Source organism: Homo sapiens, chromosome 15, assembly GCF_000001405.40.
Source record: "Homo sapiens chromosome 15, GRCh38.p14 Primary Assembly".
NCBI lineage: Eukaryota > Metazoa > Chordata > Mammalia > Primates > Hominidae > Homo > Homo sapiens.
This window is the reverse complement of record NC_000015.10, coordinates 58,245,282-58,257,901: the sequence shown is the minus strand read 5'-3', so window position 1 is coordinate 58,257,901 and position 12,620 is coordinate 58,245,282. Positions and strand designations below refer to the sequence as shown.

The 12,620-nt window shown below is 45.5% G+C and overlaps 1 annotated feature.

The window, feature by feature from the left end:
- Positions 9,100 to 9,600: an enhancer, noted in NCBI's record as "H3K4me1 hESC enhancer chr15:58540501-58541001 (GRCh37/hg19 assembly coordinates)". NCBI's record gives its function as "activates a minimal SCP1, AML or CMV promoter by ChIP-STARR-seq in primed H9 embryonic stem cells {active_cell/tissue: H9 hESC(primed)}" and the evidence as "EXISTENCE:reporter gene assay evidence [ECO:0000049][PMID:30033119]".

The window sequence follows — 12,620 nt, the reverse complement described above, 5'->3', positions numbered from 1 at the left end:
TGTCCTGTACATGGCAGGTGCCACTTGGTGTTTCAACATTATATCTTTGAAAGCAGGGGACGGCTGGGAACATATCATTGGATGGATTTCCCAGAGGATGCTGGAGGGAAAACTATTGCTGATTTCCATTCCAATTTGTCAAGCAATACAGCTGGAATCGTTAGGCCTTTTGTGTCCCAGGAGTCTCTTGGGGATCAGGCCAGGGCAGAGAGGATCTGTGAGAAAAGGATAGGCAGGAAAACCCAAAAAAATCATACTTGTCACTCACTTATACACACACAGAGTTGAAGCTTTATCCTCTCATTGTACTTTTGGCTCAACTGTAATATCTGTTCTTTTTTGCCAGGTCCTGAAAAGGTTGCATCAGCCCTTTAGCCATTACCTGCCTCTTGATGAAGCGTCAGAGCAGGTGTGCATACACCTGCCAGCACAGAAAAACCTTAACGTAAAGTTGAATACAAAAAGAAAGAGTCAAAGTAAGCTCTATATCCTAATATGAATAACTGGAATAAAAACACAATGTGTTTTACATAACAGCACTGTGTATTTTACAGGTGAATGTACTTGTACTCAGGTCATAGATCAACCACAGAACAGGTGACTTGTGGAAGGTAGGAAATTGGACTGGGGGCTCTGTGTTAGTTTTCTGTGGCTGCTGTAACCAAATTACTACCAACTGGATTGCTTCAAATGACACATTGATTTTTTCACTGTTTTGAAGGCCAGAAGTTTGAAATCTGTTTCACTGGGCAGCAGTCAAGTGTTGGCAGGGCCAGCTCCCTCTGGAGGTCCTAGGATAGAATCCATTCCTTGATTCTTCCAGCTTCTGGAGGCTGCCAGCATTCCTTGTCTTGTGGGCCACATCACTCCAGCCTTCAAGGACAGCATCTTAAAATCTCTTTCTGCTCTGTCTTCACATTGCCTTCTCTATGTGTGTCAGATATCTCTCTGCCTCCAAAATCTCGCTGAACATGTTAAGAATCACCCGGATATAAAATTCTAGGTTGGCAACCATCTTCCCTTAGAATTTTGAAGGCATGACTCTGTGTTCTAGCTATAAGTGTTTCTGTTGAGAAACCCAATGACATTCTGATTTTGAATCTTTTGTATAAACATTCTGCCCCCCACCCTCGGAAGTGTATAAAATCTCTCTATCCTTTTTGCCCTAAGCTTTCAGATGATATGCCTTTCAGATGATATGCCTTTTTTCACCCATTTTGCTGATACTTGATGGGTACACTCGATTCATGCCCTTCCCTTCTAGGAAATTCTCTAGAAATTCCTATTTAATGATGCTCTCTCTCCCTCTTTTTTTATGTTTCTCTCTCTTGGACTTGTAGACTAATTGTTTAGATTTCATATTTTTCTCCTATTTTTTTATCACTTTGTCTTTTTACTTTATTATTTCTTCAGCTTTATTTTCCAATCCTTCTATTGGGTTTATAATTTCTGGTATCATATTTTTAACTTAAATTTTTTTGTTGTTGTTCTTTGACATTCCTTTGATAGAGCATCCTGCTCCTGTTTCACAAATGCAGTACGTTATCTCCCTGAGGCTACTCTGACAACTTTAGTTGTTCAAGTTTTCTTCTCTCTGCATAGTCTCTTTCCTCTAAGTTGTTTTTCAATAATTTTTGGGGGGCCTGTCTCAGAGGGAGAGTTTCCTCAAATGTGTGATGGTTCTTGTCCCACTTTCAGAGTGGGACATTGAAAAGCTCGTCAGATTTAAGTCTCCAGATTAGATGTTTCTGATCCTCTTCCTGGAGAAAATAAACTTCCACTCTGGGTCTGGGAGATGAGGAGAGGAAGAGAGCTGGAATCTGACATTCACAGTGTCAATGTCCATTGAATCCTATGTTTCAGTTCTATCCCCCGTCTTCAGCAATGCCTGGTGTTCTTCCTGTAGAGATTGTAGGTTACACCCTTTATCGGCAAAAACCACTGGTCTTTTGCTGGAGAGCAGCAATCGTCTGGCTGGTCAATGAGGGATATAGAATCTGGGGCTGTAACTGCTCTTTGAAAAGACTTAAACAATGCCGTTTATAGCCTCCTGTTTGCCCCAACCTCTAGATCTATCTGGTGCCACTAATTTCTGAAACTTTTGGGGGTTTTGCAGAACAGATTGGGCTGCTACTTGTCTTCACACTGATGGCTTAGGATTTAGCTTGTCTCAGGACAGCTAGGTGAGGTACCACCTGACCATTTGCCTTCTCACGTCAACACACCTGCTGCTCTTTTCTCCTCTCCTCTGTCCTTTGTCCTTGTGAGTTCATGCCTCCTTCTGCCCACCCTTGAGCATCTTTTCAGTGGAGTTTAAGTAGGAGAGGCCGCTGTATTCATTCAGAGTGCATGTGTATTTGTTTTCTGTTGCCGTCATAACAAATTTCCACAAATTTGGTGCCTTAATACAAATTTATTATTTTACAGTTCTGAAGTAGAAGTCCAACATGGGTCACACTGGGCTAAAACCAAGATGTTGGCAGGGCTGTGCTCCTTTCTGCATGAGACTATTTCCTTCCCTTTCCCAAATTCTTGAAGCTGCCTGCATGCCTTGGCTTGTGGCCCCTTTCTGGATCTTCAGAGCCAGAGACAAGTCCTTCTCACGTGGCATCACTCTGACCTCTTCTGCCTCTTTTAAGGATGACTGTGATTACATGGGGCCTGCCTAAATATTCCAGCGTAAGCTTCCTATCTGGAAGTCAGCTGATTAGCAATCCTCTTTGCAACCTTAATACCCTTTTGCTATGTTAGGAAACATGTTCACAGGGTCCAGGGATTAGGACATGGACATCTTTGGCAGATCACTATTCTGCCTAAGACAGCATCATGAACTAGAACTGAGAAATTTGAAATTCAGTTATCAAAATTACCAGGATGAGTTTATTTTCCTCCATCTTCTATCGAGACTTAAAAGGATTCTAGGTTCCAAAGAAACTTGAATCCTTGATACAATCCACACTTTGTAAATTGTGTATTTAGGCTTCTACAGATAAATGGAAAATGAATAGTACTTGCTTTGAAGTCATTTCATTCCTAAGTAGTGGGACATATTTTGTTTGAAGAACTCAAAGTAATTGTAGTGGGTTGAATAGTGTCATTCTCCAGAAAGTAAGTTCAACTCCTGACCCCTGATACCTGTGAATGTGACCTTTTTTGGAAATAGGGTTTTTGTAGTTATGATTAAGTTAAGGATCTCAAATGAGATCATCCTGGATTTAGGGTGGGTCTTAAATCCAATGACTGGTGTCCTTGTAAAAGAAAGGAGAAGATTTAAGACACATAGAACAGAGAGAAAGGCCATGTGAAGACTGAGGCAGAGACAATTCATGCAGCCCCAAGCCAAGGAATGTCACAGATTACCGGCGGCCACCCAAAGCTAAGACACAGGAGATGTTCTCCCTCAGAGCCTCCAGAAGGAACTGCCCCTGCTAACACCCTCATTTCGAACATCTAGCTTTCAACAATTGTGGGGAATAAATTTCTGCTTTTTTTTTTTTTTTGGCTGCCCAGTGGTAATTTGCTGCAGTAGCCCTAGGAAACAAATGCGGCAATCTTTTAGCCAACTTCTCCTCCATGTGATAAATACGCAGGTCCTATTGACTTCATTTTGCTCAGAGAGGCTGTTTGTTCACTGTTACAGCTGCCCATGTGACATTTAGAATATCTAGAGGCCATGTCCGTAGAAGCGAAATAAAATGGAAATTTGAGATCATCCGTTGGTTTCTACAGGAAAGAAAATCTAACATTTATTGATCTGGCTCTGTGTTAAATGTTTATGGTCATTATTTTATGTAATTCTCATAATGTCTTTATGAGGAAGGTACTATGATAATCTCTCTTTCATAGCCTTGGAAATTGCAACAGAGAGAGGTTAAACAACAGAGCAAAGATTCTAACAAAGCTCTTTCAAAACCCTGTGTTTATGCCTGAAGATCCCAACTGCAAGTCGAAACTGATCAAATCTAAATAATTTTTCAAATTTCCCCTTTCCATTGTCTATGTAGTAAAAGCCAGAAAGTTCAAGGGTTTCTGTGGACAATTATTTAAAAAATGATGAGTTGAATAAATCCAGACTATTTCTTCATATTCATATTATACCCAAAGGCTTTCTCCTGGGAGAAGCTGCTGAAGAATCAAGTCATTAAAAACTATGTCAGAAGCTGCTGCATGGATCTCACTGATACTCATTTGATTACAAAAATATTGTCTTTCCCCGCAGCTATGCTTTTGTCAGGGGTATGGGAAGATAACTAAACTGGCAGGCCAAAGGCTCAGAGAATTCATTACCAAGATAAATAGAAAAAAAGGAACTTCAAGAGCCTCTTAGGAGATTTACAGGGATTGCCAGGGCAATTATTCTTCTTGGTGTCTCCAGCACATCCTGCTTCTGTTCAGAAAAATGAGGACAATTTGATAAGCCCACTGTTTAGGGGGCTATCTGGTGGGTCGTTTTCATGGATAACATCTTGAGCTTCTTTCGTTCTACTTTTTTTTAACAGGCTGGTTTTAAACAAAGTTAAAGCCGAAGTCAATGGGTAGCTATATCCCAGATTCCAGGGTCACTGCTGTGTTACCAGTCTGGGTAGAAAATAAGCTCTTGTCTCTTTATCTCTCGCCATTGAGATAGTATCATTTTTTTTCACTCCTAGAACCCCACATTCTGGTGATAACTCTCAGGGCTTACTCAGCCCAAGCCAGTAATCTTTGTTATAATCTGTTTGTGAAGAGAAAACAACACATTTGGATCCTTCCATCTTGTCCTTTTTTATCACCTGCTGTTCTTGTCAAAACCCAGGCCGACGGGTTGCTCTTGAGGTGGCCTTGACTTACTTGGTCACTGGAGGGCAGGGAGCTCAGAGCTGATGGCGAGGCCACTTCCCCCTCTATGTTGATGTCACCATCCCAGCTAGGGTGCAAGTATGTGTGGAGGAGACAATGCTGATGGAGCAGGGTGGATAAAGCACAGGAGTACTGGTGTGCCCTTGCCCAGGCCAGTCTCCAGAGGCCTGTGGCTCCTTCCCTCCAGTCTCTGTAGCGTCACCCCAACTCCTCCATCCCCTGGAAATTCTTTCTCTTCCCTCATCAAGGACTGCCCCTGGGCTGGGCTTCTGGGCTGACACCAGTACTCCTCCCAGGGTATTGGCTGGTTAGACCAATCCACAAGGGATAGGACCTGTGCTGTCGGCAGGACATTGGGAGAAGATAAAATTGGATGGGCAGGGTGCAGTCAGATGGTGACAGACCTGGGATGCTTGGCCAAGGCGTCTGGGAAGGTTTAGAGCTGGATGTGAATCACCTGCCCTGCAATCCCAGCTCTATTTCCAGCCACTGCAGCCTGTGTCTCAAAGGTCTGGTTTTCTTGGCGAGCATCCCTGGGTAACCAGGCAAATGTGCCCACCCCTTCCAACTCGTCATGTAGTGCCTTTCTTGGGGGTCTCTTCCCCCCTAGTCACTTGCTCTCTTTATTTCAAATTCTGTGAGTGAGCTGGAGAATTGGGATTGATGGACTCCTTAATTAACGTTTGGGACTCTCTCCCCACCTACTGCAACTGCTGACTAGAAATCCTCACCTCTCTTCTGTTCTTCTTGCATCCACAGCTCCACTGAGGCTGTGTGTGAGGTAAAGCTGGTGTTTGGAAGGAATACTGCTTCATGGAGTCAAGCTTGTCCAACGTGAGGCACATGGGCCGCACGCACCCCGACACAAATCCAGAAACTTTCTTAAAACATTTTGAGATTATTTTTGTGATTTTTTTTTTTAGCTCATCAGCTATTGTTTGTATTAGTGTATTTTATGTGTGGCCCAAGACAATTCTTCTTCCGTCGTGGTCCAAGGAAGCCAAAAGCTTGGACACTTCTGCTTTAAAGCTTTGCGAGGGCAGAGTGTGATGTGAGATACTCGCCAGACTGGGGGCAGAGCTCTGAGGTCTGGGGCAGGGCTCTGCTGGCCCACCTGGCAGTTCCCACACCAGGACTCGGTGTTCCCATCTGTAATATAAAGGGGTTCTCCAGAGGCACATCCAGTTCTAACATTCTGTGACTCTGGGTTTTGTAACCCTATTTACTCATTTTCTATTATTTCCTGAAAACGTGGTGTCCCAGTTGCAGTTATCTCTCCTTTCCATACACTGAAGGTACAGAATGGTATTTTAATCATCTTGGCATTGACATGTTTTAGAGCATTTTTTTTATCCCAGTGAGTCTTCTCAGTGATACACAGAGGCACAAGCTGGATGGAATGTCTAATGTTTAATGTGGCTCTCCCCTTCCCCTCTCTTCCCCAGTCTCTATCATTCATGTGCCTAGGTGTTTATACAGGTCCCAGGCACGTTCGTTTGCTTGAAGCTCAAGGAATGCAGGGATACAGCCCTTCTGAGTTTGCTGGATGCTTGTGGACCTGGGCTGCAACTCTGCTTCCTGCTTCAGAGGAGAGGGCAGGAGAAGGAGCCCCTGCCCAGATCTCAGCAGCCTTGCTTTTCTTTGAGTCTGAGATCTCTTGGGAGGTAGGTGCCTCTGCCACTTACTGGCTCACTTACTGGGTGACCTTGGGTGAGCTAGCCGACTTTACTCTGCCTCCATTTCCTCTATCTCATAGGGCTGTTGACACTTCCTGCTTCCAAATAATCTGAAGTACTTGTCCAAAATTCAGATTCCTGGCCCCAGCTCAAACTTACTGAATCAGCATCTCTGGATTGGGATCCAGAATCTGTACTAAAAAAAAAAAAAATAGGTTTTTGGGGAACAGGTGGTGTTTCGTTACATGGATCAGTTCTTTAGTGTTAATTTCTGACATTTTGGTGCACCTGTCACCCAAGCAGTGTACACTGCACCCAATGTGTAGTCTTTTATCCCTCACCCCCTCCCCACCTTCCTCCAAGTTTCCAGGTCCATTATATCATTCTTATGGCTTTGCGTCCTCATAGCTTAGCTCCCACTTATAAGCGAGAACATACAATATTTCAATTTTCCATTCCTGAGTTGGTTGACTTAGAATAATGGCCTCCAATTCCATCCAGGTTGCTGTGAACACCATTTGGAGGTGAAAGATCTCTACGAGGAAAACTACAAAACTCTCCTGAAAGAAATCATAGATAACACAAACAAATGGAAACACATCCCATGCTCATGGATGGGTAGAATCAATATTGTGAAAATAAGCATACTGCCAAAAGCAGTCTACAAATTCAATGCAATTTCCATTAAAATACCACCATCATTCTTCACAGAACTAGAAAAAACAATTCTAAAATTCTTATGGAACCAAAAAAGAGCTTGCATAGCCAAAGCAAGAGTAAACAAAAAGAACGAATCTGGAGGCATCACGTTACCCAACTTCAAACTATACTATAAGGCTATAGTCACCCAAACAGCATGGTACTGGCATAAAAATAGGCACATAGACCAATGGAAGAGGAGAGAGAACCCAGAAATAAAGCCAAATAGTTACAGCCAACTGATTTGTAGCAAAGGAAACAAAAATATAAGGTGGGGGAAGGGCACCCTATTCAACAAACGGTGCTGTGATAATTGGCAAGCCACACGTAGAAAAACAACACTGGATCCTCGTCTCTCACCTTATACAAAAGTCAACCCAAGGTGGGTCAGAATCTGTACTTTTAACTGCTCTTCTAAGCCACAATTCTGTATACTACAGTTTGAGAGCCTGTTTCTTAAACATATAACGCTTCCCAGCTCACACAGTGTTTTAACCTGTGTTGACTGCGTTTAAACAGCACCGTGACTCTGAGGCAAACACAACACTCTCTCTTTCCTCTTATATACAGGAAACTGCTGCTGAAGGGGAAAGCACCTTCTCCAAGGTCATCAAAGGCTCCCAAACTACAGCACCCACCATCCCTTTCCATTTTCTCTTCTGTTACTGAGTCTTCTTACAGAAAAGAACACTAATATGCAGCCTGTCACAGAATTTGACTTGACTTCCTTTCATTTCTTCTTTCTATTTAGTGGGTGAGTTTTCTTTCTCCTGGTTGGCAGATAGCCATTGTCTCTCTTTATAAATGTTTTTATCTGCTGCCGCTTTTATCTTATCAGACCCACAGTACATCTTCATCTTTCTGCTCCTAAAGATAATTCCTGCTTTGCTATACGTCATCGGTGTCATCTCAGTCACTGCTCAAAATAACGAATAGATTTTTTTCCAGTGTGGAAAGAATCTGGGTGAGCCCTGCTTAGAGACAGCAAGTTTTCTGTGCGTTCACCCTTCTGCACCCACCATGCCCTTTAAGGGACTTGGTTGCACCTTTGAGAGATTCAGAGAACCCATGTCCCTGATATCTTAGAAGGAATGATGTTTAGTGCTTCAGTGACCTGCACACATGAGAGCAAATTGGGAGAAAGTAGGGTGCAGCTGTCTGGACAAGTTGGGAGTGATCTCTCATGAACACCTACAGTTGAGAGGCAAGAAACATGCGGGGTTTAGGGTGGGTTATAGTCACCCTATCTGCAAACTGAATGGCCCCAAAAGAAAGTGAACTCGCTCTTCTGAGAAGAAACATGTACTGTTTGTATTATTTATTTATTTGAGACCGTGTCTCGCTCTGTCGCCCAGGCTGGAGTTCAGTGGCACGATCTCGGCTCACTGCAACCTCTGCCTCCCAGGTTCAAGTGATTCTCCTGCCTCAGTCCCCTGAGTAGCTGGGACTACAGGCACCCACCACCACGCCCAGATAATTTTTGTATTTTTTAGTAGCAGTGGGGTTTTACCATGTTGGCCACGCTGGTCTCGAACTCCTGACCTCAAATGATCTGCCTGCCTCGACCTCCCAAAGTGCTAGGATTACAGGAGTGAGCCACTGCACTCGGCCTGTATTTTTTATTTTCTGTATATTATGATGTTTTGATATCATAAAAAGCCTTTCTAGGTAGGGAGAGACGACCCTTCCCAGGTCTAGCCAATTCTTGGAGACTGAAGGGACCAGTGCAGACTATACCTTTGATATGCAGACTAACCAGTCCAGAAGCTCACCACCTGAGTCTGGCCCAGACACCCAGAGGCAGTATTCCTCTGCCTTAATCACGCTGGGGCCAGGCACCAGGCAACCAGGGACCATTCTTAGAGTTTAGAATCTGCTGAAATTATTCAAACTAGCCAATCCAAGGGTTCACCGTCCCTTGCCTTGCGTTTCCCTCAGAAACCCCAATAAAAGCGTGGTCGGCAGTCCCTTCTCCCCAGCTCTGCTGTTTTTCCCATGTGGCCCTAGGTGCCGTGCCGCCTGTCGCTAGGACCTGTGAGCATAGCAGTGTTGTTTTTTTCGAGTCTTTCCTGTCTCCTCTTGTGGCCACAGCTGGCTGACCATCACATTAAAAGATTACAAAACAAGAAGCATAGTCCCCCACTCGGCCCCCGCCTTGAGGAACTTAGTGGTTTGCAAGAGACATCGGGTTTGCCTGCTAGAAACCATGTGAGTGGAGCCTTAGTGGCCGGGGCTAAGGATGCAAAGGGACTTCTTACATGCCCAGTGACATTGCACAACAATCGCTGTGGGACAGTGAGAGATGGCAGGAGGCGTGGCAGCGGGGGTGTGAGGGTGAGAAGCCAACAGGCTTCACTACCTATTATTAGCTGATTACACAATGCATTGCTGTTTATCTTTTCTTTTAATAAAACTTGCTATGGTACACAGTGGCCGGCACATACTTGCATGCCGGGGCCCAGTTCCCAGGCCTGGCTGCCATCCGGGGTGTGAGAACTCCATTGTGTGCTGCTTTGTGGAGGGAGTTAAATCAGGGCTCCATATCATAGCAACTCAAATATAAGTTTTCCCAAAGGGCAGTGGGCTCCTCTAATGATTTCATCATAGACCAGGGTTTCTCAACCTCGGTACTGTTGTTATTTTGGGCTGAGTAGTCCTTTGTTGTAGGGGGTTTCCTGTGTGCTGTAGGATGTTTAGTAGCTTCTCTGGCCTCTGTCCATTGGATGCCAGTAGCACTCGCACCTTCTCCACCCTGACTCTCAGGAGTGGTGACCAAAATATCTCCAAATATTGTCAAAGTTGCCCCTGGTTGAGAACCACTGACATAGATGAGCAAGAATAATACGTTAATTTCCAGATGCTCTGGGACTCAGGCTCCTTATGAAAATATACAACCTTGTCTTGATGGTCCATGGCCAGAGCTAGTCTGAGATGCCCAAGTTAGCAGAACTTCTTCCTCATTCGTTGAGGTCTCAGTCCCCTTGGGATGGCCAAACAGGGCCTCACCAGAATTATCCCTCTCACCTGCAGCCTGACTTCATTCTGTCCCCCAGGCTGCAGACCCCCATCCAAGGCCTCCTTCACCAGCTCTTTCTTCTGAAGTCATTCCAGGTGCTACCCACTGTGTAGCCTAATGCCCTGCCTCTGCTGGGCTATCTTCTAGAACGGGTCCTTACATGGATTACTCCTGGGGTCTCTCAGCTGCTGTTCCTTCATGGTGCCCACCTTGGCCTGGAAATCGGCCCTTTAAGCTCCTCCAGAGCCCAAGGCCCCGCCCAGCCTGCAGGCTACCTTGTTACACTCCTCCAGGGTGTGTCTCATTGCTGGTGAGCAGCCAGCCCGGTGTGCAGCACTCTGTCCCCGCCACATGTGGAGCATCCTTGGCCTGATATGTGCGACCACCCCATGGATCAAAACTTACCCAGCCATTAGATCATTGAGCTGCTCATTAGAAATCCAGATTCTGGGTTGTACCCCAGGATGGCATGGGGACTGGGAATCTGCTTTCCTACAAGCATCGCAGGTGACAGAGGACCACTGAGGTCAAAAGAGACCTAGAGGCTGAACGTGCTCCCAGCACCTGGGCCTCCATTTCTTCACCAAGGCCTTCCTTTTTGACTCTGCACTTGTTGATGTAAGTTCTAGTCCTGTGTTTCATTATCGTTGTCCTTACATTTATTTTTGAGTTGACAAATCCTGGAGAAATCTGAAATCACATTGCAGACATCAAAGTAGGTTGGACCATGGGGTCAGGGATGGCAGGGGAGGGCCCAGGGTTATAAGTCAGAGCTGCACCTCTAATTCTGCCTCCACATTTGCAGATCACTTCCCCTCTAGGACCCTCCCTCTGCAATTGGTTAAACGGGATTAGACAGAAAGCAGGTTGCAAGAGCTTTTTAAAGCAATGGAATCCTATCCCCTTCAAATGGAAGCTTATTTGAAACTCGAATATAAAAAGCAGTGAAAGCTATGTTTGAAGAGGAGAAAGCCCTCCAAGTCCCACATCCTCAGCCTTCTCTGTGTCCCTTCCTGAGCCTGAGGCTCCACTAGAGGAACCTGGGGGTCTGCAAATGCAAGGTGAGGCCTGTAGGCCTAGTGTCCCTGCCATGATTTTTGTGACTGGCGTGCCCAATGCCTGGCCTCTGCACGTGAGCAACCACGGCTTCCTTTCCCACTTTAGAGTCTTTTCAATGGGAGTGCATTTCCTGCCCCTGGGTACAAAACTCCAGCAGGCCCACACTTGGCCAGTTCACACTCTGCGTGGTCACTTTATCACAAAACACAACCTCAGTTCAACGTGTCCATTCTAAGAGATTAACCAAAATCCAGAACTTAAGTTTATAGCAAATCTTTGCCACCTTTTTTACTGCCACCTCTCATTCCAGGGTCAGAGAGGAGGGAGAAGGCTGTGCTAAACAAGGTGCTGGCAGTGTCAGGAGCTGGCCTCCTGCCTTCTGGGTTGAGAGATATCGAATGCTGCTTTGCCAAGAGCTGCTTTCTTGAGCCCCTCCAAGGTTCTCCTATTTGGACTCTGCTGCAGATCCCTTGCCCTGGTGAGTGCACCTCCATCCCAGGTGACTGCTGGTCACTGCTTCCCCCTACTGAGGTCAAAAGAAATCTAGAGGTTGAATGTGCTCCCTAGCACCTGGGCCTGCCTGTCTTCACCAAGGCCTTCCTTTTTGACCCTGCACTTGCCGATGTAAGTTCTAGTCCTGCATTTCATTCTTCTTGTCCTTATATTTATTTTTGAGTTGACGAATCCTGGAGAAATCTGGAATCAGGCAGCACCAAGCCTGGGCTCACCTCTGGCTTCTTGCTACTGAGTGGCTCTGCCCCTTTCAGTTGTCCTTGCTGGCCTTCTCAGGCAGCCCTTGCTCACTGTCCCCAAACTCTGGGAGTGAGTGGAGCCCAGTGCAGCCACCTTGATGTTCTGCTGCTGCTTTCTGAGGCATGAGTTAGATGGCAGCCCCCGATATCTCAGCTGCAGGGAGCACGTAGCAAAGCTCCCTGGGAGATCCCATGGTGGCCCATGATGAGATGGGAAGTAAAGGAGAAGGTGGGGACACGTGGCTCAGTGCATCTCCCCCCATGGACATCTCTTGACAAGTCTCTCTTTGCTTCACACTCTGACCTCTTGATCTGGACAAGCATCAGTCAGGGTCCAGCCAGGAAGTCAGAGCCTCTGTGAGCTTCATAGAAAGGGAAGATATTCTACGAATTAGACTGTGAACTTCATAGAAAGGGAAGATATTCTACGAATTAGACTGTACATGATGGTGGGAGGTGTTGGGAAAATAAGGGTTTAAAAAGAGGAGTTAGAGGGTCATAGAAAGGTGATGAACCAGCCCCGAAGCTGGAGTCCATGCTTTCAGGGAAGATGGGGAGCTGGGCTCCTCTAGCTGCTGG